This window comes from Homo sapiens, chromosome 1, assembly GCF_000001405.40.
Source record: "Homo sapiens chromosome 1, GRCh38.p14 Primary Assembly".
NCBI classification, from domain to species: domain Eukaryota; kingdom Metazoa; phylum Chordata; class Mammalia; order Primates; family Hominidae; genus Homo; species Homo sapiens.
In genome coordinates, this window is record NC_000001.11 from 105,298,614 (window position 1) to 105,326,511 (window position 27,898).

Below are 27,898 nucleotides of genomic sequence, written 5' to 3' on the forward strand. Positions count from 1 at the left end.
ATATATCATATTGATTTGCATATTTTGAAACATCCTTGAACAACAGCCATTGGACAAAATGTGTGGAAAACATCTATTAGGGTCATTTGGCTTATAGTGCAGATTAATTTTGATGTTTCTTTCATGACTTTCTGAATGATCCATCCAATGCTGAAAGTGAGGTGGTGGACTCTTCAGCCATTACTATATTGGTGTTTATCTGTCTCTTTAGCTCTAATATATTCTTTATATATGTGGGTACTCCAGAGTTGAGTGTATACATATTTAAAATTGTTATAATGTCTTGCTGAATGGACCCCTTTATCATTATGTAATGACATTCTTTGTTTCTTCTCATAGTGTTGGTCTTGAAACCTATTTTTTTTTTCTGATATAAGAATAGCTGCTCCTGTTCTTTTAAGGTTTCCATTGGCATGGGATATTTTTTCCATCCTTCTATTTTCAGCTTATATGTGTCTTATAGGTGAACTGTGTTTCTTGTAGCCCAGAGATCACTGGGTCTTACTTTTTGTCCCTTCAGTCACTTTATGTCTTTTGATTGGAGAATTTATCTACATTCAATCTTATTATTAAAAAAATAAGGACTTATTCCTGCCATTTGTTATTTGTTTTCTGGTTGTCTTGTGGTCTTCTCTACTTTCCTTTCTTCCTGTTTTCTTTTTTCTGAAGGTGAGTTTCTCTGGTGTTACCTTTTATTTTATTGCATTTTATTGTTTGCCCATATGTTGTGGGTTTCTTGGTTTGAGGCTACCATGAGCCTTGGTAATACTATCTTATAATCCATTATTCTGAACTGACAACAGCTAATCACTGATTGCATAAATAAACAAACTGAAAATAAGCAACAAGAAAATGAATAAAACTTCAGCACTTTAACTTTATCCCCGGGCTTTTTAATTTTCTATTGTTTGTCTTTATATCTTATTATACAATCTCTATTTGGAAAAATTGTAGTAGTTACTATTTTTGTTAGGTTCATCTCTTCTTGCTGCTTTTAGGATCCTTTCTTTATCCTTGATCTTTGAGAGTTTAATTATTAAACGCCTTCTGGTAGTCTTCTGGATTAAATCTGCTTGGTGTTCTATAACTTTCTTATTCTTTAATATTATATCTTTACCTATGTTTGGGGAGGTCTCTGTTATTATTCCATTGAATAAACTTTCTATTTTTTTCTTTCTTTTGGTATGGAGTCTCTCTCTGTTGCCCAGGCTGTAGTGCAATGGTGTGATCTTGGCTCAATGGTTTCTGCCTCCAGGGTTCAAGCGATTCTTTTGTCTCAGCCTCCTGAGTAGCTGGAATTACAGGTTTGCATCGCCACACCTGGCTAATTTTTTGTACTATTAGTAGAGACGGGGTTTTGCCATGTTGGCCAGGCGGGTCTTGAACCCCTGACCTCACGTGATCCACCTGCTTCAGCCTCCCAAAATGCTGGGATTACAAGCATGAGCCACTGCACCTGGCCCATTGAATAAATTTTTACCCCTTTCTCTTTCTCCACTTTTGACTGTTTATTTTCAAATAGCCTTGTCTTCAAGCTCACTAATTCTTTCTTCTGCTTGATGTCTTCTGCTACTAAAGGACTCTGTTTATTCTTCAGTATGCCAACTGCGTTTTACAGCTCCAGAATTTCTGCTTCATTATTTTTAATTATTTCAATCTCTTTGTTAAATTTATCTTATAGAATTCTGAACTTCTCTGAGTTTTCTCAAATTTCTTTGAGTTTCCTCAACACAGCTACTTTGTATTCTTCTTCTGCAAAGTCATACATCTCTGTTTCTCCAGTATTGCTCCCTCCCTACTGCCCTATTTAGTTAATTTTGTTAGGTCATATTTTCCAGGAGGGTGTTGATGCTAGTAGATGTTCTTCTGTGTCTGTGCATCAAGAGTTAGATATTTATTGTAAGCTTCATTCTCTGGGCCTATTTGTAGCCATCCTTCTTGGGAAGGCTTTCTAGATATTTGAAAGGACTTGAGTGTTGTGATCAAAGCTCTTTCTGCTATAGAGGGCATCCAAAGCTCAGTAACACTGTGGTTCTTGCAGACTCATAGAGGTACCATCTTGACAGTACTGTACAAGATCCAAAAGAATCCTCTGAATTACTAGGTAGTGGTTCTTGTTCTATTCTCTTACTTTCCACCCAACATATGGAGTCTCTTTCTTTGTTCTGAGCTACCTAAAGATGCGGGTTGAGTGATACAAACCTCCCTGTGTCCACCACCACTGTGACTACACTGGGTCAGAGCTGAAGCCAGCACAGCAATGGGTCTTGCACAAGCCTGCCATAACCACTCCCTGGCTACTGCTTATATTTGCTCAAGGTCCTGGGTGTCTACAATGAGCAGTGACAAAGCCAATCAGGTCTGTTTACTTTCCTTCAGTGCAGCGGGGTCCCTCAGGCCATGGGTGGGCCCAGAAGTGTTGTCTGGGATCCAGAGACTGGAGTAAAAATCTTAGACATTTATCTGGTATTCTATTGTATTGCTGCTGAGCTGGCACTCAAACATCAAAACACAGTTCTTTCCACTATTCCCACCAGTTTTCAAAGGCAGAGGAGCCTCATCCCATAGCCACCACCACCCCCGGCTACAAGGAGTACTGCCAGACTACTAGCCAATATTCCCTTAAGGCCCAAGTGCTCCTAAGTCAGCTTGTAGTAAATGCTGCCTGGCCTGGGACTGAACCTTCAGGGTAGTGGGCTCCTCTGTGGCCCATGGCCAGTCCAGAATCCCATCCAAAAGTCAAGTTTTTTGAATCAGGAACCCTAAGAGCCAACTTGGTGCCCTACATCCCTGTGGCAGTGTTGGTTCCTAAGGTGCAAGACAAAGTCTCTTTTACTCTTCCTCTGCTTTTCTTAAGCACAAGGGCATTTTGTCTTGTACCCAACACAGCTCTTAATGGGCTGAGTCTCACCCGAAGCCAGTACATCTCAGAGGCTCACTCAAGGCTCTCAATGTAGTACCTGGGTATTGCTGCTGGTTATTCAGGACCCAAGTACTCTTCAGTTAGCAGGTGATGGATGCTGCTAGGACTGGGTCTTTTCCTTCAAGGCAGCAGCTTCCCTTTTGGCTCAGCGTGTGTTTCGAAATGTTGCCTGGGAGCTAGAGCCTGGAATGAGGGCCTTAGGACTCTGATCGGTGCCCTGTCCTGCTGTGGCTGAGATGGTTTCCAAGATGCAAGACAAGGTCCTCCCCACTTTCCCCTCTCCTTTCTTCAAGAGGAGAAAGAAGCCTCTTTTACATGCGCCCTCACCTCCGCGCATCTGTCTCACCTCACTGTCTCTGGGCCTAGTTCAGCCTAAGACTAGCCTAAGAGTTGCAGTCCTTATGGCCTAGACTGATTTTCAAGTTTGCTTAGAGACTGAGATCAATTCAGCCCTTGGTTGGGAGGTTTGCAGGCCCTCAAGTTTGAACCACTCAGATTGGCGATTCCCCTCTGGCTAGGGCTGAATTAAATGCCTCTGTGGGTGGGTGTCAGCTGAGGCTGGTCTGGTATTTCTTTCTGCTCCAAAAAGACAACACTGAATTCAATGTCTCACAATTGCTGGGTTCTCCCTCCCCAGCACCCAGAAATGTTATCTGCGTTACATGGCTACTCCTAGGCATGGAGGAAGAAAAAATGGCCTCTGCAATTCAGGACTATTTTTTCTATCTCTTATTTCCCCTTTCAGTGATATAAAATTAAAACCAGCTATTGTGAGTACTCACCTGATTTTTGGTTCTTATGAAATTGTGTGTGTGTGTGTGTGTGTGTGTGTGTGTGTAGATAATTGCTAACTTAGTGTTCATATGGAGGTTGTGAAGGTGAGATGATCAGTGGAGCTTTCTATTCCACCATCTTGCTCTGCCTCCTCCAGGGGGGACTCTCCTTCCTATGATGTTTACATCGGGTATTGTGATTGTTCACCTGGTTTTTGGTTCTTATGAAGGTGCTGTCTTCTGTGGATAATTGTCATTTTTGATGTTCCTGTGGAGGGGACAATCACTGGAGAGCTCTATTTGGTTATCTTGTCCCATCTCCTTCAGGATTATTTACTCTTAGAAATAATTAAATTGAAATTTTACCTTCTTATCGTAAGAATGATTCTATAGAAGGAGCAAACACAGAAGGACTCTCAGCTCAAATTTAGTTTGAATGAAGAAGCTAATGATGTCACACACACATTGTGAGTAAAAGGATAGATTGAGTAGTTACATAACTACTTTGAGAGTTTGATGAGAAAATGACAGGTTTTTCAAACTGGTCTGAAAAATTGCTTGAGAGGGCAAATAAAGGAGACTGTATTGGAATTTTGCTTTGGTTAGGGGATGGGGACCCAAGGTGCAAGTTCCTGCATATAGGAAGGGGCTTATTGTGAATCTACAACTGGTGTCATGAAGGGAGGACTAAGACTTTCTTATCAGCTTGACCTTATGTGGAGCAGAATGGGAAATGAAGCAGTGGGACTTAAAGCAAACAGTAAACATACAAAAAAATGGAGTCAAATCCTTTTTTACACATAGCTAGAAAAAATTGCAAATCAAACCATACTTGCAAAAATATTTAAATTCCCAATTTATTATTTTACCATGTGATCTTTACAAAATTCTTAGCTCCTTTAATCTCATCCCCTCAGTCAGTAATATGGAACTAATAATGCCTCTGTAGCAGTTTTCATGAGGGCCAATTAAACTTCCCATGTAGAAAAGTGCCACTTAACGAGTAATATATGTTACTTCAATTACATTTTCTGTTAAATGTTGCCAAGAGAATTTTTTTAAGCAATTCAGCGTCATTTAGATCCTTAGAGCAGAGATGGCTAGTTATTACCAATCCTAGTCCTCTTCCATACCAACGAAACCTTTCATTTAATGAATTCAGAAAACAAATATGTATGGCACACATAATATTTACTATGAAATATTTTTGCTCTTGCAATATTAGAATTCAGTAATAAAAATATTTTTTAAAAGTCTCTTCCCTTATAGAACTTACTAGGGTAGTAGACCAACAATAAACTATATATATATATATATATATGTATTATATATGTATCATATATATAACATGTATATCATCATATATAACATATATCTATCATATATATGTGTTTGTGTATATGTATATATGTATACATATATGTATATATATACAAACACACATATGTATACTATAGTGTATTGAAATAAATTTAGTATATTAGAAATTAATGTTATGAAAAAATATTAAAATTAACAAGAAATGCTAAAGTGTTGTGGGGATGAGGTTTTAGTGCTGAATAACATAAACAAAGCAGTCCTGATTGAGGAAGTAATACCTGAGCAAAGACATGACAGATCCAAGTGGATAACTAGGCTAAAGCATGCAACTCAAGCAGAGGGGCAGATGAATAAATGTTTGAAGGTACGTCAGAACAGCAAGGAAGTTAGTGTGTTTGGAGTCCTAAGGCAATCAGTAAAAGAGAGATATGTCAATGAGGTAGTGGAGGGGGCAGCTTAGAAAGGGTATTTGGCTTTAATTATTAGTGCAATGAAGAGCCACATTGGAGTTTTGAATAGAAGAGATAAATTATCAGAATTACAATTTATAAGTTCTACTCAGTTAATATGTTGAGAATAGCTTGCAGAGTGACAAGGTTCAAACAGATAGAAGACAATTGCAATAGTTCAATTCAAAGATGGTTCTGGCTCAGACATAGGTGTAGCAACGAAGGTGATGAGAAATAATTTCATTTGGGGTATATTTCGAAGGAAAGACCAAAAAGAATTTAACCTGAATTAGAAAAGATTAAAGAAAGGTTCCTTGGTTCAATGACCAAGTTACTGAGATGTAGAATAGATGAATCATGTTTTGGAAAAAAAAAGATGGACATAATTAGTTCTGAATATGTAGAGTTTAAAATATTTACTAGACAACAATGCACAGCCTTAATGTAGGAAATGGATATAGCAAGCTGGTGCTCCAGAGAGAAGTCTAAGTTAGAGATACAAATATAATATTTTTTGGAATATAGATAGTATGTGTATCCTTGAGACAGTATGAGATCATTAAGCTGTGCCTTTCAACAAAAAAAGGAAACAAAGCCAAGATCTAGGGCACACCAACTTTAAACAGGAAGGTGATGCTTACATTTTTAGCTGAATACACTGTCACTCAGGGTAAAATCTTCCTGCAGCTTGATGTAAATATGATCAAATACTCGTTATAGGAGTTTAAATTGGATGGGTTATTTTACACCTTGAGTGAAGACCCTGCAACAGATGTAAAAATCTTTTTAATTTTCTATTTTCTGCTCTTCCATCTTGCTACCAAAGATAAAGTATGATGGCTGTACCTTTAGATATTACCTTGGACTTGTGGGGCAGCATGGAATTTGGAAATGGCCAATTGAATACCAGAGAATGCCTGGATTTTCAGGGACTTTTTTGAAATTGTACTATCATACTAGCTCTGGACTGCTTTCTTCCAGATTTTTATACAAGATATAAATATTTTGTCTTGCTTCAGCCCATGTAATTTTGTATCTTCATTATTTCCAGCTGAAATTAATACTAAGTGATAGATTTCCATAACAGAAACAGATGGTAATGTACCCCTTATTTTTATTCTTCTTTTTTTGACCCCATTTATATATACATATATATATATTTTTTAATATATATAAATATTAAATATACATATTTTATTATACTTTAAGTTCTAGGGTGCATGTGCACAACGTGCAGGTTTGTTACATATGTATACATGTGCCATGTTGGTGTGCTGCACCCATTAACTCGTCATTTACATTAGGTATATCTCCTAATGCTATCCCTCCCCTGTCCCCCCACCTCACAACAGGCCCCAGGGTGTGATGTTTCCCTTCCTGTGTCCAAGTGTTCTCATTGTTCAATTCCCACCTATGAGTGAAAACACGCAGTGTTTGGTTTTTTGTCCTTGCTGAGAATGATGGTTTCCAGCTTCATCCATGTCCCTATAAAGGACATGAACTCATCATTTTTTATGGCTGCATAGTATTCCATGGTGTATATGTGCCACATTTTCTTAATCCAGTCTATCATTGTTGGTCTTTTGGGTTGGTTCCAAGTCTTTGCTATTGTGAATAGTGCCGCAATAAACATGCATGTGCATCTGTCTTTATAGCAGTATGATTTACAATCCTTTCGGTATATACTCAGTAATGGGATGGCTGGGTCAAATGGTATTTCTAGTTCTAGATCCCTGAGGAATCACCACACTGACTTCCACAATGGTTGAACTAGTTTACAGTCCCACCAACAGTGTAAAAGTGTTCCTATTTCTCCACATACTCTCCAGCACTTGTTGTTTCCTGACTTTTTAATGATCGCCATTCTAACTGGTGTGAGATGGTATCCCATTGTGGTTTTGATTTGCATTTCTCTGATGGCCAGTGATGATGAGCATTTTTTCATGTGTCTGTTGGCTGCATAAATATCTTCTTTTGAGAAGTGTCTGTTCATATCCTTCGCCCACTTGTTGATGGGGTTGTTTTTTTCTTGTAAATTTGTTTGAGTTCTTTGTAGATTCTGGATATTAGCCCTTTGTCAGATGAGTAGATTGCAAAAATTTTCTCCCATTCTGTAGGTTGCTTGTTCACTCTGATGGTAGTTTCTTTTGCTGTGCAGAAGCTCTTTAGTTTAATTAGATCCCATTTGTCAATTCTGGCTTTTGTTGCCATTGCTTTTGGTGTTTTAGACATGAAGTCCTTGCCCATGCCTATGTCCTGAATGGTATTGCCTAGGTTTTCTTCTAGGGTTTTTATGGTTTTAGGTCTAACATTTAAGTCTTTAATCCATCTTGAATTAATTTTTGTATAAGGTGTAAGGAAGGGATCCAGTTTCAGCTTTCTACATATGGCTAGCCAGTTTTCCCAGCACCATTTGTTGAATAGGGAATCCTTTCCCCACTGCTTGTTTTTCTCAGGTTTGTCAAAGATCTGATAGTTGTAGATGTGTGGTATTATTTCTGAGGGCTCTGTTCTCTTCTATTGGTCTATATCTCTGTTTTGGTACCAGTACCATGATGTTTTGGTTTCTGCAGCCTTGTAGTATAGTTTGAAGTCAGGTAGCCTGATGCCTCCAGCTTTGTTCTTTTGGTTTAGGACTGACTTGGCAATGCAGGCTCTTTTTTGGTTCCATATGAACTTTAAAGTAGTTTTTTCCAATTCTGTGAAGAAAGTCATTGGTAGCTTGATGGGGATGGCATTGAATCTATAAATTACCTTGGGCAGTATGGCCATTTTCACAATATTGATTCTTCCTATCCATGAGCATGGAGTGTTCTTCCATTTGGTTGTATCCTCTTTTATTTCCTTGAGCAGTGGTTTGTAGTTCTCCTTGAAGAGGTCCTTCACATCCCTTGTATGTTGGATTCCTAGGTATTTTATTCTTTTTGAAGCAATTGTGAATGGGAGTTCACTCATGATTTGGCTCTCTGTTTGTCTGTTATTGGTGTATAAGAATGCTTGTGATTTTTGCGCTTTGATTTTGTATCCTGAGACTTTGCTGAAGTTGCTTATCAGCTTAAGGAGATTTTGGGCTGAGATGATGGGGTTTTCTAGATATACAATCATGTCATCTGCAAACAGGGACAATTTGACTTCCTCTTTTCCTAATTGAATACCCTTTATTTCTTTCTCCTGCCTGATTGCCCTTGTCAGAAATTCCAACACTGAGTTGAATGGGAGTGGTGAGAGAGGGCATCCCTGTCTTGTGCCAGTTTTCATATGGAATGCTTCCAGTTTTTGTCCATTCAGTATGATATTGGCTGTGGGTTTGCCATAAATAGCTCTTATTATTTTGAGATACGTCCCATCAATACCTAATTTATTGAGAGTTTTTTGCATGAAGGGCTGTTGAATTTTGTCAAAGGCCTTTTCTGCATCTATTGAGATAATCATGTGTTTTTTTTCTTTGGTTCTGTTTATATGCTGGATTATGTTTATTGATTTGTGTATGTTGAACCAGCCTTGCATCCCAGGGATGAAGCCCACTTGATCATGGTGGATAAGCTTTTTGATGTGCTGCTGGATTCGGTTTGCCAGTATTTTATTGAGGATTTTTGCATCAATGTTCATTGGGATATTGGTTTAAAATTCTCTTTTTTTGTTGTGTCTCTGCCAGGTTTCAGTATCAGGATGATGCTGGCCTCATAAAATGAGTTAGGGAGGATTTCCTCTTTTTCTATTCATTAGAATAGTTTCAGAAGGAATGGTACCAGCTCCTCCTTGTACCTCTGGAAGAATTCAGCTGTGAATCCGTCTGGTCCTGGACTTTTTTTGATTGGTAAGCTATTTGTTATTGCCTCAATTTTAGAGCCTGTTATTGGTCTATTCAGAGATTCAACTTCTTCCTGGTTTAGTATTGGGAGAATGTATGTGTCGAGGAATTTATCCATTTCTTCTAGATTTTCTAGTTTATTTGCGTAGAGGTGTTTATAGTATTCTCTGATGGTAGTTTGTATTTCTGTGGGATCAGTGATGATATCCCCTTTATCATATTTTATTGCGTCTATTTGATTCTTCTCTCTTTTCTTTATTAGTCTTGCTAGCGGTGTATCAATTTTGTTGATCTTTTCAAAAAACCAGCTCCTGGATTCATTGATTTTTTGAAGGGTTTTTTGTGTTTCTATCTCCTTCAGTTCTGCTCTGATCTTAGTTATTTCTTGCCTTCTGCTAGCTTTTGAATGTGTTTGCTCTTGCTTCTCTAGTTCTTTTAATTGTGATGTTAGGGTGTCAATTTTAGATCTTTCCTGCTTTCTCTTGTGGGCATTTAGTGCTATAAATTTCCCTCTACACACTGCTTTAAATGTGTCCCAGAGATTCTGGTATGTTGTGTCTTTGTTCTCGTTGGTTTCAATGAACATCTTTATTTCTGCCTTCATTTCGTTATGTACCCAGTAGTCATTCAGGAGCAGGTTGTTCAGTTTCCATGTAGTTGAGCAGTTTTGAGTGAGTTTCTTAGTCCTGAGTTCTAGTTTGATTGCACTGTGGTATGAAAGACAGTTTGTTATAATTTCTGTTCTTTTACATTTGCTGAGGAGTGCTTTACTTCCAACTTTGTGGTCAGTTTTGGAACAAGTGTGGTGTGGTGCTGAGAAGAATGTATATTCTGTTGATTTGGGGTGGAGAGTTCTGTAGATGTCTATTAGGTCCGCTTGGTGCAGAGCTGAGTTCAATTCCTGGATATCCTTGTTAAGTTTCTGTCTCGTTGATCTGTCTAATGTTGACAGTGGGGTGTTAAAGTCTCCCATCGTTATTGTGTGGGAGTCTAAGTCTCTTGGTAGGTCTCTAAGGACTTGCTTTATGAATCTGGGTGCTCCTATATTGGGTGCATATATATTTAGGATAGTTAGCTCTTCTTGTTGGAATAAAATATTCTCCTTCTGGTTAGATCAATTTAGATTGTGTAGTACTATCTGAAATATTATTTTGAAAAGTATTTCTATTTTTGTTTTTTCTTCCATGTGTAAAATGAATAGCTATTCCTTATTTAATAGCAAATGATATTAAAAATGTGTATGACAGCATTGAAGCAATCATGGAGCACTCGTAGAGTAGATAAGTTGCCAAGAGTTTTTGACAGCACAAATTTTAGAAAGGCATTATAAACAGAATCTATGCATGAGTATATATTTTAAAATGATAAAGCTTTTTAGTGCTGCTTTTCTAAAATATTTAAGAGTAAAATTTTTGGAAGTACCCTTTCGTTCACCTCCTGGAAAATTCAGTAAGGCAGCCTTAAGGTAGCCTTATTACCTCTTGGAACTATTAAGCTGAGCAAAATTTTAAAACAACAGGTAGGAGTTTTAGTGGATGAAGTTTGAAAATGTACTGAGACAGTTTTTTTTTTTTAATGCATGTTTTGGCCATATTAGCAATAGCAGGAAATCATTCTAGGTAATTAAAAAAAAGTTGCCATTGAGACTATGATATTTGAGACTTCTTTTTTCTTGAATAGAATGAACAATCCGCTAAGTGTGTTTAAGTTTTTTGTTAAACCCTCGGCAAATAAAATCATGGCTTTGCCTGTAAAAAGCACTGATGAATAAATGTCTCTTTTTCTTCAAAGACCGTGCTTGTTGTAAATGAGAATCCAGATACACAATTACCTGTGATTCAAGAAGGCAGCTGCAAATATATGACACCACTGATGCATCTGCAGAAGAAAAAAAAAAAAGCAGATGCTATGATTTTTATTTAGACTCCTTTCAACGAAGAGATGAGACCCAATAGGAAGAAAAGTCACTAGACAATTAATAAACATTACTTTTCATCTTACTGCTTTACTTTTATTGCCTCATCCTTTATAGTTTTATGGGTTTGTTCTTGCCAGCCTAATCTTTCCCTCCTGTAATTTGGGGTTGATTTAAAATCAGCTTTCCTGTGGCTTTTTTAAGCTAGGGAGTTCTCCGTTAATAGTGTGCTTGCCTAGCATTTTTCCTATATCCTTTACAGCTCTATTTAAGAGTTAAAAAACTGGGTTATAAAATTGAAATATGTTAATATAAAAATGAAGAAAAGGATTTGTCTTAGTATATTAAGAAGATTAAGCAATGGTAAGAGAGTTCTAGATCATCTAGACTTTAGCTTTTGCTTGTTGGGGCTGCTCCCACATCTCCATAAAGACACCAGATGACAGCCCTTCTGCAAGGTCAGGTTATTCTGTCACTGCAAGTGAAAAGCATGGAAGAGATTTATTAGGCAGCAACGTGCATCTATGTGTTTTATCTTTCTCCAATATAAATACCTAGGAGATGCTTGAAGCAGTATTTAAAAGGAGTTGTAATGAATTATAAATGATGATAAATCTGAACTGATTTCAAAGTGATGGGCTTTTAACATTTAAAAATTTTACCATGGAGGTTGCCTTTTGTTACTTAGCTCTTTTAAGCTTAAATATATAACACATTATGCAAAACTGATATTCAGGGGAATTGATTAAAACAACAGAAATATTATAAGAATAAAATATAAAGATAGAATATTTTATTGAAAAACATAATAAAAATTAACATGTACATACTTTTTTTTTTAGATGAAGATTTACATCTCATCACCCATGCTGGGGTTCAATGGCCCGATCTTGGCTCACTGCAACCTCCACCTCTCGGGTTCAAGTGATTCTACTGTCTCAGCCTCCGCAGAGCTGGGATTATAAGTGCCTGCCACCAAGCCTGGTTAATTTTCATTTTTTTAGTAGAGACGGGTTTTTCACCATGTTGGCCAGGCTGGTCTCGAATTCCTGACCTAAGTTGATCCACCTGCCTTGGCCTTCCAATGTGCTAGGATTACAAGCGTGAGTCACCAGACCTGATCACATACACACACTATTTATCCATGTAGATTTATCTTATATATAAAAATTTAATTGTTGAATAAAGGGCATATTTACTTTTGATAAATTACAGATTATTATTACCTTTTTTATGTAAGGTAGATCGTTACTCCAAAAAAACTTCACATTTTTAATATCAGAAAGCTATACATATCTATATGATCTTGCTTATTATTTTGGCATTGGGTGTCTCATGTGCATAACCAAAAATAATAAATATTTTAGAATTTTATGAAGTATATATCCTTGTTTAAATTTCTCCAAGAGTTAAAAAGGAAGTAGAATATAACACCAATTTTTGAATGTGTATTATTTAACTAGATAGGCAAATTTAATAGTAATAAATTATTGATTTCAGATATAACTAGAAGTTAGATGAATTATAAACCTTATAAAACACAAAGCTTATGAAATTCCACAATTCTGGCACTTATTTTCTAACCTCAGTTTCCATATTTATAGAATGAAAATTATAATCATAGTCTCTAGCTATCAGAGTTACTGTAAAAATTAAATGGAATTTTGTGTAAATACACTAGTATATCTCCTAGCATATAGTAAAGTAAATATTTGCTATTAGATAATGATTTATTTCTTCTCACTTCTTTTATATTTAAAATAAATGTATTGCCTCCAATGTGTCAGACACTATTTTCAACAAGAAAGGGAAAGTTCTTACCTAGACCAAGTTCTTACTTATACAGTGGTTACATTGCTGTGAAGAGAAAGAGAAATAGAGAATATTAAAGAAAGTATCAATGTCTTTATACTTAATTTATATGTATCTCTTTGGACCCTGACAAAGAATAATACATTAAGTGTCAGGAAGGTAAAGAAGGGTAAATTTATTAGAAACAGTTACATTGGTGCTTTGTGGAATGGAGCTGTTAGAACATGTTTCCATTCACAGTAAGTAAACACATTATTTTGATCTATACACTTTAGTATTTCAGTAAGAAGTTTAGTTAAGATCGCCATGTTTTATTTAAATACTTCATCATTGGATTATCATTTTGATATATATCTGTATTGTTGCTATGTCTATAACACTATTTTAAATCTAGTGAAAATGGATAAAACATTCTGATTAACTTTAAAATATTTAAATAAAGCATAATATACATAAGAAGATGCCTAAAACGTGATAAGTAAATAAAAACTATGCATTTTGCTTTACTTTTTATCCGATTGCCCATTTATAGTACTTAAAAATCTCATTTTTATAGTATCATGTGCATCATAGGCCATGCAGAACATGATGGTACAATAGTGTTGTTCAATCATCAAAGGTCCCTAATGGGAATAGGGGTCCATGTTAAAGATTGCAAAGATCAGGAATTAAATGATGTCTCATTTGCCTATTTCTACTTTTAAATTTGCAGGCTCTTCCTATAGAACTGGTGCTTAAGATGTTAAAGGTGGGTATGTGGTAATGTGGATGCCACACTGGCCTCATTTTCAACTGACAAGTAAACTTTGTTTTTTGGTCAATAAAGTATTCAGTTTAGTGTTAATCTTCTCTTTTTGCATAGAATGATATATGTGTTTAATTTCTAGTTCTTTTTCTATAAAGACAACATTCCAGAAGGTATTTGGAAGTGTATAGTGGATACAATTTACTAATTTTTAATTCTATATAAATTTAATAAAAACTTCCAAATTTAGTTTAGAGGAGTTATAGACATACTTAAAGACCCAATTTTCTTACGTTGGGGGAGTGAAAGAATAGAGGAGAATAACTCAATACAGAGAGGGAGAGTCACAAGGCTTTAGACAGTATCAGCAAATGATAGGATGAGAGAAATAATGTCAAAGAACTATGGTAGTGATTAAATCAGTTATGATACATTTTATTTATTATTACATAGAAAAGTGTCAAACTCACTAACTCTATAGGAGTAGAGGATCCATTGTACAGGATCAAATAAAACTACATTTAAAATGTGGGTGTCGATTGGAGAAATGAAATGGAATACAAATTACCTACTCAAATCTATCTAATTGGAAAGGATGATCAAATCAATCTAAAATTTACATTAATGTAATTATACTATTTAAAAGTAAGCATTCTGATTACTGTTTTACCTTATTTTCTAAAACACTAAATATAGAACACAGAAGATCATGTGAATTTCTCATTTTGCTTATATACTAATTATATTTATCAGAAATTGTTGGCCAGGTGTGCTGGCTCATGCCTGTAATCCCAGCAGGTGGGGAGGCTGAGGCAGGAGGATTGCTTAAGCCTGGGAGTTCAAGACTAGTCTAGGCAACAAACAGAGACCCCCATCTCCAAAGAAAGAAAGAAAAAGAAATTGGGAAAAGTATTGGAACAATCCACTCACAGTCAAGATGTTATAATAATTGCATGTGGTTGTATAGAATGGAAATGTAACTTCAACTCTCTGAGACGTGGATATGAGTATGGCCTACTGAATTTTTCAGTGAAGTAGTGATTTGAAGACATGTTAATACTACAAATAAAGAAAGAACCATGACTCTGTAGTCTCTTTTATTATATATCTGGAGATTACAGAATTGAGCAAAGTAGCCTCTACCGTAAGAACCTCAGTCATGTGAACTCCAGAAGCAATCATTATAAGGCCTTCTTTCTTCAGAGGTCAACTTTTTTCTCTCACTTTCTCTGGTGTAATTGCTTGGCAAAATGTAATCAATAAAATACATAAAAGAATTATGTATAAACAATAGTTATATTAAAAATTAACTTTATTCTAGCTCCGCACTTAAACAGTGCAACGAGGAAGGAAATACCTCACAACCATGCTGACTGAACTTATCATAAATAAAGAATAATGTTAAGTAAAGCTTTAATGCTGCCTACCAATCATACTGCACTCCCCTAGCACATGTACTCATTAGCTTGCCCACCCTTCTGGGTAATTAGTACCTATTTCTACCCTTCCACAAACTTCCAGTAACCTCTCTAATTTTCTGAACTATAATATTGGAATATTTTATATCAATTTTTTTAACTTCTTGTTTTCTGTATCTATATTCATGGTATTTTGGCATATCTCTTTCAAACAACTAACAAGATCCTTATACAGCATAGAATAGTAAGAGAGGAGTCAAATGTGTTTGCACGAGTCAAATAGTGGCATGAATAGATTCATCTTGATTAATGTACTTGGAAGCAAGTATTGACTAGGATAAGGAGTGTAGCTGTAATCATCATTAATTGTTTGACCAGAAATCAAATAGTAGCATCAACATTTGATCAAATGCAAATGTGGAGTGTGATTACAACTAAGAAACAATGTCATCTTCACCTCAGGGAATGCCAGACAGGGACGATAATGAAAGGTGGCCAGTTAAGATTTAAATGTATGCCAGTTAAGAAAAAATAAACCATTAATTGACAAAATAAACCTTTAATTTTCAGAGAAAATGAATGTCTGAATTTCTTGCTCAAAATTTTATAGCGTTGGCCAGCATTAAGTTATAGTCACTGGTGGACTGGAAAGTCACGATATAAATTACAGCAAAACAAAGACAGTTGATACTCCTGCACACTTGAGTGTATAGATAAAAAAGTATTATCTTTGTATATATGTTATAGCCAAGAAGACTTTTTGCTGCAAACATGTTCATTAACTCTTCTCTACTAATACTATTTTCTCTTAGTCGATAAAACACATTTTTCCCCTCAAAAAAAAAAAAACTGTGATGGTCAGAGAAAGAATATGCCATATTTTGCAGTGTCATCTCATGTACTTATATCAGAAATTTATCATTGTAAAATAGATTCACAGTGAAATATTTCAGTAAAATATCATAGCTTAATAATAATGTTTCATACTTATGAGTTAAAGAAATAACACTGATTTTGCTATATCTTAAGTTTAAAGTACTGGAAGTTTATGATTATTTAAATGTGGTATAATGCATATCTAATTAACAGATTTGATAGCTATTTATTAAATACATATTGGATAATAAAATAATAATTAAATATAAAAATAAGTATATACAAACTATATTAGTGAAACACATACTAAATTATATTCACATATTGACAAATGCATACCTATCATGGATATTTCTAGACAGCTAAAGCCCATTCAGAATATCTGCAAAATGTGCCACAATTTCAATACCCTGGCAACTAACATTTAAAATAATAAACAGTGAAATAAAAATGATATTATAAGTTGGCATCTTTGACTTGAGAATTGCCCATTGCTTTTGCATTTTTTTCTATGTGCTTTCTTAAGGCATTTTGGTTAAGATGGTTCAAAATGGATACTTTATCTGAGAGTGTGTAATTTTAATATAACATTCAAAGACAAGACAATTTTCTAAAGACTTTCTTTTTTCTCTATTACATACTGAAAATAAACTGATAGTTATCAGTTGTCATGCAACATTGCCAGAATATTTGCTACATTCTTTGATATAAGGATTTCATAAAAATATATCCTATAAAGAATTAACAAAATGTTACTTTTTGTATAAAATAAATATATGATTAAATAATGTTGTAGTTACAGCTATTTAGCCAAACACAACGTGAATTATTCAATAATAAGTATGGGATATCATGTATTTATCATAGAAAACTATTTTTATTTATGATCATGTATAATATTGTTCTCATTCAAACACTAAATACAAAGCATATTCCTAAAATTAAGTGCACATATTGGACTTCTGTTATTGAAAAAAAAAATTATTTTATTTTATTTTTACTGTTTTGTCCCACATGAGCTTGCTTATATATTTAAAAATAAAGTGTTCCTTAGTTTCTTGAAAAATAAATTAGCCTCTGTAGGTGTTGTGATTCTACACCAGCAACCCATGATAATAAATTAAAGGTGCAAAAATAGTTAGTATTTACATGTAAAAGTAATTACAATAATTAATTTAAAGGCAAAAGGTATCATTTGTCTTAGCTTTTATCCAAGTACTGCCTCAAAATCACTTTTCTTATGAACCACAATAAATAGAAGAAGTACCATTAATGTCTCAAAAGTATTCTTGTATTACAAATTAAAAATCTTAATTGCTCCAAGACCAAATGGTTAAGATAAAAATTAAATTCACCTGTGAAGCCTAAACTCCAAATATAAAATGAGAAATTACACAGAAAAATTGTGAACAATAAGATTATTCTGCTCAATTTCTACTATTATCTAAGCAATTTTTATTATTTATCTGACTAATTTTTTCAGATGTTTGAATAAATTAGTAGCAGGGTATTACTTTAAAATAGAAAAAATATATGTAATTTGTATAAGTACCCAGAAGTTTAATGAGTATGTCAAAATCTGGTATATTTGTTATAGAGTAATACTACCTAATATTTATCAAGAGCATAATATATACTCCATTTACCTCCAGGCTCTTTGCATACCGATGTATCAAGGATTAAATTAATTTTGTCCTCTAAACAACCCATTAAAGTAGGCAGTATTTTTATTTATTTGACAATTTAGAAAACTAAGAATGATCACTAAACTGATTGTGAATTTGTTGGTATAATGTTTGTGTGGCAATGTTCCTCTGCACGAGTAGGGATGAAAAGAATTATGTATATAGAATAGTTGTCCTTTCACATGTGGTTTTCATAAAAACCCTACTCTTCTAATTTATGGTTAAAAGTGTTCATTGTAACTAAGACTATCATTTTTAAATAATGACTATGACCTTTTTTTAATTCTAGAGAAAAATAACATAATTGCTTGAAATTATTATACCGATTTCCTGACATTCCAATTTAAATCTCTGTAATTTTATTCCCCAGAAGTCCATATTACATGCTACCATCACACTGCCATTGTTTCCAGTACTAAAAATATATTATTGCAACTTTCTGAAAGTAATACCTTTCTATTAGCAAATTGTCTAATATCTCAGATGCTATAATTGATGATTACAGAATTTTATTGAATGTTCATATCATAGGCAATATAAGTGTCATTGAAGAAGTCCTGAAAAATTGGATGCACCATTAATATAACTTCCCTACTCATACAGAAGACTCAGATAATAATTATGTATTATATACTGTATTATGCTATGTATATATAATTTGTCAATATTTAACCTGATAATCTTGGGGAAATCAAGCATTTTTCTCTTTGAGAATTAAGTTTGTTGTTTTATTAACATATATTCTTATCAGGTAGCAAAATGATTCTTCTATTCTGAAATTTTAAAAAGAATTATAACTAGGAATTAATGTTAAATATTACCAAATGCTTACCATTGAAATGAGTAGAGTTTACACATTTATTTTCTTGTTGAGATATATAATTTTCCTAATGGTAAATTACTTTTAGATGTTGAGAATGCTCAAAGTAACAATTTAAAAAACGTTATTTGCTACACCATGTTTATGTATATTAACATTAAAGAAAGCAGAGTGACAGAAATTTAGGTACTCTGTTTTATCTTTACAATGCTTCTATGATCCTACTTTTTTTGTTGTTGTTAAAATGTCCTTTCACATTTAGGACAAGATGTATTTCTTGCAGCCATAATATCATTACTGAAGATAACTTAGTTAATCAATATAAGATCTATTGTCAATGTACTCCTCTATCATGCTAACTTGTATTTTTTAAATTTTTAAATTTTTAATTTTGTGGGTACTTAGTAGGTGTCTATATTTATAGGGTACATGAGACGTTTTGAAACAGGCATACAATGTGAAACTATCATATCGTGGAGGATGGGTTAGAAATCCCCTGAAGCATTTATCCTTTGTGATATAAACTATCCAATTACAATCTTTTAATAATTTTAAAATGTACAATCAAGTTATTATTGATTATAGTGACCCTGTTGTGCTATCAAATAGCAGGTCTTATTCATTCTTTCTAATTATTTTTTGGACCCATTAAAAATCTCCACCTCCCCATCCCCAACAAAACCCCTACTACATTTCCCAGCATCTGTTAACCATCCCTCTACTGTCTATTTTCAAGAGTTTTATTAGTTTTAATGGCAAAAAACGCAATTACTTTTCCACTATCCTAATATTGCTTCGATATTTTATTGTTCATTGTTTATTTTATTATTTACGGTTTGATATTAGATTGTTTTGATTTTTAAATCCCACAAAATGTTATAGCACATAATGTTTGTCTTTTTGCGCCTGGCTTATTTCACTTATCATAATGATCTCCATATCCATTCATGTTGCTGCAAATGACAAAATCTTACTATTTACGATGGCCAAATAGCACTCCATTGTGTATAAGTACCACATTTTCTTTATCTACTCATCTCCAGATGGACAATTATGTTGTTTGCAAATCTTACTATTGTGAAATATGCTGCAACAAACATAAAAAAGTGTAGATATATCTAAGATATACTGAGTTCCTTTATTTTGTAAATATATGCAGCAGTGGGATTCCTGGATTATATGTTAGCTCTATTTTTAGTTTTTTAAAGAACATCCAGACTGTTCTCCATAGTGCTAATACTAAGTTACATTCCCACCAAGAGTGTACAGGATTCCCTTTTCTTCACATCCTCACCACCATTTGTTAATGCCTGTCTTTTGGATATAAGCCATTTTAGCTGGGATGAGAGGATAGCTCATTGTAGTTTTGATCTGTATTAATTTGATGATTAATGATGGTGAGCACCTTTTCATATACCTGTTTGCCATTGTATGTCTTCCTTTGGACGATGTCTATTAAAGTCTTTTGCACATTTGTAATCAATTTTTCAGATTTTTTCCCTATAAAGTTGTTTGAACTCTTTACATATTCTGGTGATTAATCCCTTGTCTGTTGGGTAGTTTGCCAATATTTTCTCCCGTTTTGGGGACTGTCTGTTCACATTGTTGACAGTTTTCTTTGCTGTGCAGATTTTTAATTTGATGTGATCTCATTTGTCCATTTTTGCTGTGTTTGCCTGTGCTTGTGGGTTACTTCACAATAATTCTTTTTTTCCAGACCAATGTCCTAGAGATTTTTCCCATTTTCTTGTGGTACTTTCAGACTTTGAGAACTTAGTTTTAAGCCTCTAATCCATTTTTATTTGACTTTGGTATATGGTAAGAGATACAGGTCTGTTTCAGTGTTCTGCATGTGAATATCTAGTTTTCCCAGTATCATTTATTGAAAAGATTACATTTTCACCAATGTATGCTTGTGGTACCTTTGTTAAAAATGAGTTCACCGGGCCAGGGATAGTGGCTCATGCCTGTAGTCCCAACAATTTGGAAGGCCAAGAGGAATCACCTGAGGTCAGGACTTCGAGACCAGCCTGGCCAATATGGCGAAACCCCATCTCTACTAAACATAGAAAATTAGCTGGGCATGGTGGTGGGTGTCTGCACTCCCAGCTACTCAGGAGGCTGAGGCAGGAGAATCACTTGAACTGGGAAGGCAGAGGTTGCAGTGAGCCAAGATCGCACCATTGCACTCTAGCTTGGGCAACAAAAGTAAAACTCCATCACAAAAAAAAAATAAAGAGTTTACTGTATGGATTTCTTTCTGTGTGTCTGTTTTTATGCCAGTGCCATACTGTTTTGGTTACTATAGCTCTGTACTATAATTTGAAATCTGGTAATGTGATTCCTCCAGTTTTTCTCTTTTTGCTTAGGATAACTTTAGCTATTTTGGATCTTTTGTAGTTCTATATAAATTTAGTGGGTTTTTTTTATATTTCTGTGAAGAAAGCCATTGGTATTTTGATAGGGAGTAAATTGAATCTTTGCATTGCTTTGGGTAGTATGGACATTTTAATAATACCAATTTCTCTAATCCAAGAACATAGAATTTTTTTTTGATTTTAAGGATCTTTTTCCATTTCTTTCATTAGTTTTTTTTATAGCTTTCATTGTATAGATCTTTTACTTATTTTGTTAATTCATAGGTATTTATTTTATTTGTGGCTATTGTAAATAAGATTACATTTTGACTTCTTTTTTAGATTATTCACTGTTAGCATACAAAAATGCTACTGACTTTTGTATGTTGATTTTGTATTCTGCAGCTTTAGTGAATTTGTCTATCTATTCTAACAGTTTTCTAGTGGAGACCTTAAGTTTTTCCAAATATAAGATCATATCATCTGCATACAAGGATTATTTGACTTCTTCCTTTCCAATTTTGATGCCTTTTATTTCTTTCTTATGTCTGATAGCTCTAGCTAGAACTTCCAGTACTATGTTGAATAACAGTTGTGACACTGTGCATTATTGTCATGGTGCAGATCTTAAAGGAAAGCCTTTTTTTCCCCATTCAGTGAGATAATAACTGTGTATTTGTTGAATATGGCTTTTATTATGTTGAGGTATGCTCATTCTATCTCCAAGTTTTTGAGGAATTGTATCATAAAATAATTCTGAATTTTATTAAGTGCTTTTTCAGCATCAATTTAAATTATCTTATGGTTTTTGTCCTCATTCTGTTGATATGATGTATCACATTAATTGATTTGCATACGTTGAATCATCCTTGCATCCCAGTAATAAATCTCACTTGGTCATGATGAATGATCTTTCTAAAGTATTTTTTGTTGCATTCAGTTTGCTGGTATTTTGTTGAGCACTTTTGCATCAATATTCCTCAGAGTTATAGACCTGTAGTTCTTTGTTTCTTTCTTTTTTTTTTTTTTTTTGATGTGTTTTTGTCTTTATTTATTTATTTATTTTTGTATCAGGGCCTTGTAGAATGAGGTTGAAAACATGCCTTCCTCCTCTATGTTTTAGAATAGTTTGAGTAGCATTGGTATTAGTTCTACTTTAAATGTTTGGTAGAATTCCAGGGAAACTATCAGCTCCCAGACTTTTTTTTTTTCTATTTTTACTAGGAAACTTTTTATTATAGCTTCAATCTTGTTACTTCTTATTGGTCTCTTCAGGTTTTTCATTTCTTCTTAGTTTAATCTGTATAGGTTATATGTATCTAGGAATTTTTCAATTTCTTCTAGATTTTCCAATTTATTAACATATAGTAGCCACTAATAATGATCATTTGAATTTCTGCAGTATCAGTTGCAATGTCTCCTTTTTCATTTCTGATTTTATTTATTTGTATTTTCTCTGTCATTTTCTTAGTCTGGCTAAATGAATGTTAATTTTGTTTAACTTTTCAAAAAAACTTTTTGTTTCATTGACCATTTGTATTGTATTCTTCATTTCAATTTCATTTATTTCCGCTCTGAATTTTTTATTTCCTTTCTTCTATTAATTTTGAGTTTGATTTGCTCTTGTTTTTCCATTTAAGTTGTGTTGTTATATTATTTATTTGAAGTTCTTTCACTTTTTTGATGTAGGCATTTAGTACCATAAACTTTTTCTGAGTACTGCTTTTGCTGTATTCCATAAGTTTTGGTGTGTTGTGTTTTCATTATCATTTGTTTCAATAATTTTTTGTTTTCTTAATCTCTTCATTGACCCACTGGTCATTCAGAAGAATAATGTTTAATTTCCATGTGTTTGTTTGTATTTTTCCCAACATTTCTCTTGTTACTGATTGCTAGTTTTATTCATTGTTGTCAGAGAAGATGCTTAACAGTATTTCAATTTTTTGAATGTTTTAAGACTTGTTTTGTGACCTAACATATAGTCTATCCTTGAGAATGATCCATATGCTAAAGAAAAGAATGTATATTCTGCAGCTGTTGGATGAAATGTACTGTAAATATCTATTAGATCTATTTGGTCAATAGTGCAGAATAAGTCCAATATTTCTTTGTTGGTCTTTGTCTGGAATATCTGTCTAATGTTGCAAGTGGGGTGTTGAAGTCTTGAGCTATCAAGAGATAAGGCCTATCTCTCTCTGCAGCTCTAATAATATTTGCTTTATACATCTGAGTGTTCCAGTGTTGGGTGCATATCTATTTAAAATTGTTATAACCTCTTGCTGAGTTGACTCCTTTATCATTAGATAATTATCTTCTTTGTCTCTTATAGTTATCTTGAAGTCTAATTTTTCTGATATAAGTATAGCTATTGATATTCTGTTTTGGTTTTCATTGGCATGGAATGTATTCTCTCATCCCATTATTTTTAGTCTATGTATGTCTTTATAAGTGAAGTGTGTGTGTGGGTGCATGTTTTTCTAGTGAATAGATTAATAGGTCTTATTTTTTCATCCATACAGCCATTCTATATTTTTATTGGTGAATTCAGTCCACTTATATTCAATGTTATTATTGATAAGTAAGGACTTACTCTGGTTATTTCGTTATTTGCTTTCTGGTTGTTTTGTAGTGTTTTCTTCCTTTTTTCTTTCCTTCCTGTCGCCCTTTCAGTGAAGGCGATTTTCTCTGGTGATGTGATTTACTTTCTTGCTTTTCACCTTTTGTGTCTCATTGTATGTCTTTTGCTTTGAAATTACCATGAGGGATTGAAAATACTATCGTGTAGCACATTATTTTGACCCGATGACAACATAACACTATTTGCATAAACAAACAAACAAATGAAAAGAAAACTAATAAAAACAATAACACTTAAGTTTGCCTTCTTGCTTTTTAACTTTTTGTTGTTTCTGTTTATATCTTATTGTAGTGTCCATGTCTTGAAAAGTTCCTGTAGTATTATTTTTGATGAGTTCATCATTTGGTCTTTGTAATTATTATAAGAGTAGTTTACACTCCACAGTTACAGTGTTATGATATTCTATGTTTTTCCGTGTGCTTACCTGTGATTTTTGTACCTTTACATGATTACTTAGTCGCCCATTAATGTCCTTTTCTTTCTGTCCTTTTACTTCAGTACTCACTTTAGCATTTCTTATAGGACAGGTCTAGTGTTGATGAAATCCCTCAGCTTTTGTTTGTCTTGGAAAGTCTTCATTTATTCTTCATGATTGAAAGATTTCTTTTTTTTGGTCAGGTATTCTATTCTAGGAGAAAAAGTTTTGTTCCTTCAGCACTTTAAATGTGTCACGTCACTCTCTCCTGGCCTATAAGGTTTCCACTGAAAAGTCTGCTGCCAGACATGTTGGGCCTCCATTGTATATTATTTTTTTTTCTTTTCCTGCTTCAGGATCTTTTATTTATCCTTGATTTTTTGGGGGGAGTTTAATTATCAAACACCTCAAGGTAGTCTTTTGTTTGGTATTCTGTAACCTTCTTTTATGTGGATATTGCTATCTTTCTCTATGTTTGGTAAATTCTCTGTTACTGCCCACTTTGAATAAACTTTCTACCCCAATCTCTTTCTTTATCTGTCCTTTAACACTTAGATTTGCCTTTTTGAGGCTATTTTCTATATGCTATAGGCATGCTTTATTGTTTTTATTATTTCTTCTTTTGTCCCCTGTTATTGTATATTTTCAAATATCCTGTCTTTAAGTTCACTAATTCTTTCTTCTGCTATTATGAGACTCTGTTGCATTCTTCAGCATGTCAACTGAATTGTATAGCTCCAGAATTTCTACTTGCTTCTTTTCAATTATTTCAATCTCTTTGTTAAATTAATCTAATAGAATTCTGAATTTCTTCTGTGTTATCTTGAATTTCTTTTAGTTTTCTTAACACAGATTTTGAATTCTCTGTCTGAAAGTTCACTTACCTCTATTTTTCCAGGATTGGTCCACAGTGCATTATTTAGTTCATTTGCTAAGGTCATGCTTTCTGTGATGGTGTAGAAGCTAGTAGATGTTCCCTGGGTCCTGAAGAGTTAGGTAGGTATTTATTGTAGCCTGCATAGTCTGAGATTATTTGTACCCATTCTTCTAGGGAAGGCTTTCCAGATACTTGAAGGGACTTAGGTATTGTGATCTAAATTGTATCTGCTTTAAGAGACACGTCAAGCCCAGTGATGCTGTTGTTCTTGCAGACTCATAGAGGTAATGCCTTGATGATCTTAGACAAGATCTGGGAGAATTATCTGGATTACCAGGGAGAGATTCTTGTTCTCTTCCTTTACTTTCTCCCAAGCAAACAAATTCTCTCTCTGTTCTAAGACCTGTGGAACTGGAGGTGCAGTGGACTGGAGGTCAACATAGTGGCCACCACCACTATGACTGCACTGAATCAGAGCTGAAGCTAGCACAGCGCTGAGTCTCACCCAAGGCCTGCTGTAGGCACTTGTGGCTACTGCCTATGTTTTCTCAAGGCCATGGGGTTCTACAATCAGCTGGTGGCAAGTCTAGCCAAGTTTGTGCTCTTTTTTCAGGGTGGCGACTTCTCCCAGACCCCAGGTAGGTCTAGAGGTACCATACAGGATTCAGGTACTAGAGTCAAAAACCTTAGAAGTCTACCTGGTATTTCATTGTTTTTTTTTTGAGACGGAGTCTCGCTCTGTCGCCCAGGCCGGACTGAGGACTGCAGTGGCGCAATCTCGGCTCACTGCAAGCTCCGCTTCCCGGGTTCACGCCATTCTCCTGCCTCAGCCTCCCCAGTAGCTGGGACTACAGGCACCCACCACCGCGCCCGGCTAATTTTTTGTATTTTTAGTAGAGACGGGGTTTCACCTTGTTAGCCAGGATGGTCTCGATCTCCTGACCTCATGATCCACCCGCCTCGGCCTCCCAAAGTGTATTTCATTGTTCTTTGGCTGTGCTGGGGTTCAAGCCACAGTGTGCAGTATGCCCCACTCTACCCTCTCCTTTGCAAAGACAGAGGAGCCTCACCCATAGCCACCACCAACACAAGTCACAAAGAGTATTGCCAGACTATGCCATTTTTTCCTTAAGGCCCAAGGACTCTTAAATCAGCCTGTGGGGAATGCTGTCTGTGTTAGGACTCACCCTTCAGAGCAGTGGGCTCCTCTATGGCCCAGGGAAGGTCCAAAAATGCCACCCAAGAGTCAAGTCCTGGAGTCTGGTACCCCAAGAGCCTATTTGGTGCTCTGCCACTCTGTGGCCATGCTGGTACCTAAGGTGCAAGGCAATGTCCCCTTAACTTTCCCCTCTGCTTTTCCCAAGCATAAAGACTTTCACTCCACTGCCCCCACAGCTGGTAATATACAGTCTCACCTGAAGCCAGGAAATCTCAAGGCTCATCCAAGGCCCTTGACGTTGTACATGGGTATCACTGCTGTTTATTCAGCACCCAAGGGCTCTTCAGCTAGCAAGTGATGAATGCTGCCAGGACTAGGTCCTTCCCCTCCAGGCAGTGGGTTCTCTTATGACCCAGGGTGTGTTTAGAAATGTTGTCTGGAGGGAGGCTGAGGCAAGAGAATGGCGTGAACCCAGGAGGCGGAGCTTGCAGTGAGCCAAGATCGCGCCACTGCACGCTGCAGCCTGGGCGACAGAGCGAGACTCCCTCTATTAAAAAAAAAAAAAAAAAAAAAAAAAAAAAAAAAAAAAAAGAAGAAGAAAGAAAAATAAATGTTGTTAGGGCCTGCAACATGGGTCTCATGACGCTGAACTGTGCTCTCTTCGACTGTAGCTGAGCTGGTATACTAGATGTAAGACAAAGTATTTCCCACTCTTCTGTCTCCTCTCCTCAAGCAGAAAGGAGTCTCTTCTGGAGCCACAAACTGTGCAGCCTGAGTTTAGGGGAGGGCTGATGCCAGCATTCCCTTAACCTCTCCAGCTGGTGTCTCAGTAGGTTGCATGCCTCCTTATTTCACTGTCTGTAGGCCGATTTCTGCAGTAGGATGCACCTAAGAGTTGCAGTCCTTATGGCCTAGACTGTCTTTCAAGTTTACTTAGAGAATCAGAGCACATTAGCCATTGGTGTCTAGGTTTGCAGGAACTCAAGTTCTGACCCCTGGGATTGGGGATTCCCATCTGGCTTGGGCTGGTTTAAATGCTCTCTCTGTTGGCGGGGGTCAGTAGAGTCTGTCTTGGTTTTTCTTTCTGCTCTAACAGGACAACACTGGGTTAATTGACTCACAGTTGTTGTGCTTCTCCCACCACCCAAAGATGTTCTTTGCACCACCCCACTTTGCACCATTACTTTGTTTATATAAGTTTAATATGACTATAAATCCTCTTCCAGTGACATCTTATCTGGGACTATGCTTTTGGTATCTTCCAACTCTGTGACCCCTTGTATGTCAGCATGTCTTTAGTCACATATACTTTCCCAAACCGTGTGTTTTCTTAATGTTCGAATCTTTCATAATTTGAACAATGTATACTACTCTAACAGCATCACAAACAATCCTTTTAGCTAAATATTCTAGCCAGTTTTAAATCATCACAGTAGAACTTGTATATAAAATATAGGCCACTCTGTTTCTAAATATGTATAAAAAACTAACAGAAAATAACAGCTTACTGGTACTAACAATTCATGCTTTAAATAGAATACTTTATGAGGAAATTTTGCTGTAAACAATAACTCATAGTTTAAATGTAGTGGTGCCATATTCTCTGTATAACTTATGGGTGTGACATTCTCAGGGAGGCAGTGGAGAATAAAGGAACCCTCTAGAACTCTAGAGTTTCTGGAATACTCATTCATTCATTTATGCAACAGATGTTTATGGTAGATACTACAATAAATTTTAAAATTACAAAAATAATTGGCCATCATGGAGCTTATATGATAGTAAATAGGAAAATGCAAAATTAAGAAAAATAAGTAAGCCTATAGAATGCTATGTAAGTGCTGTGGAGAAAAATACAGGCAGAAGTGTAATGAAATGTGATGTAGGATTTACAGTTTCAGATAG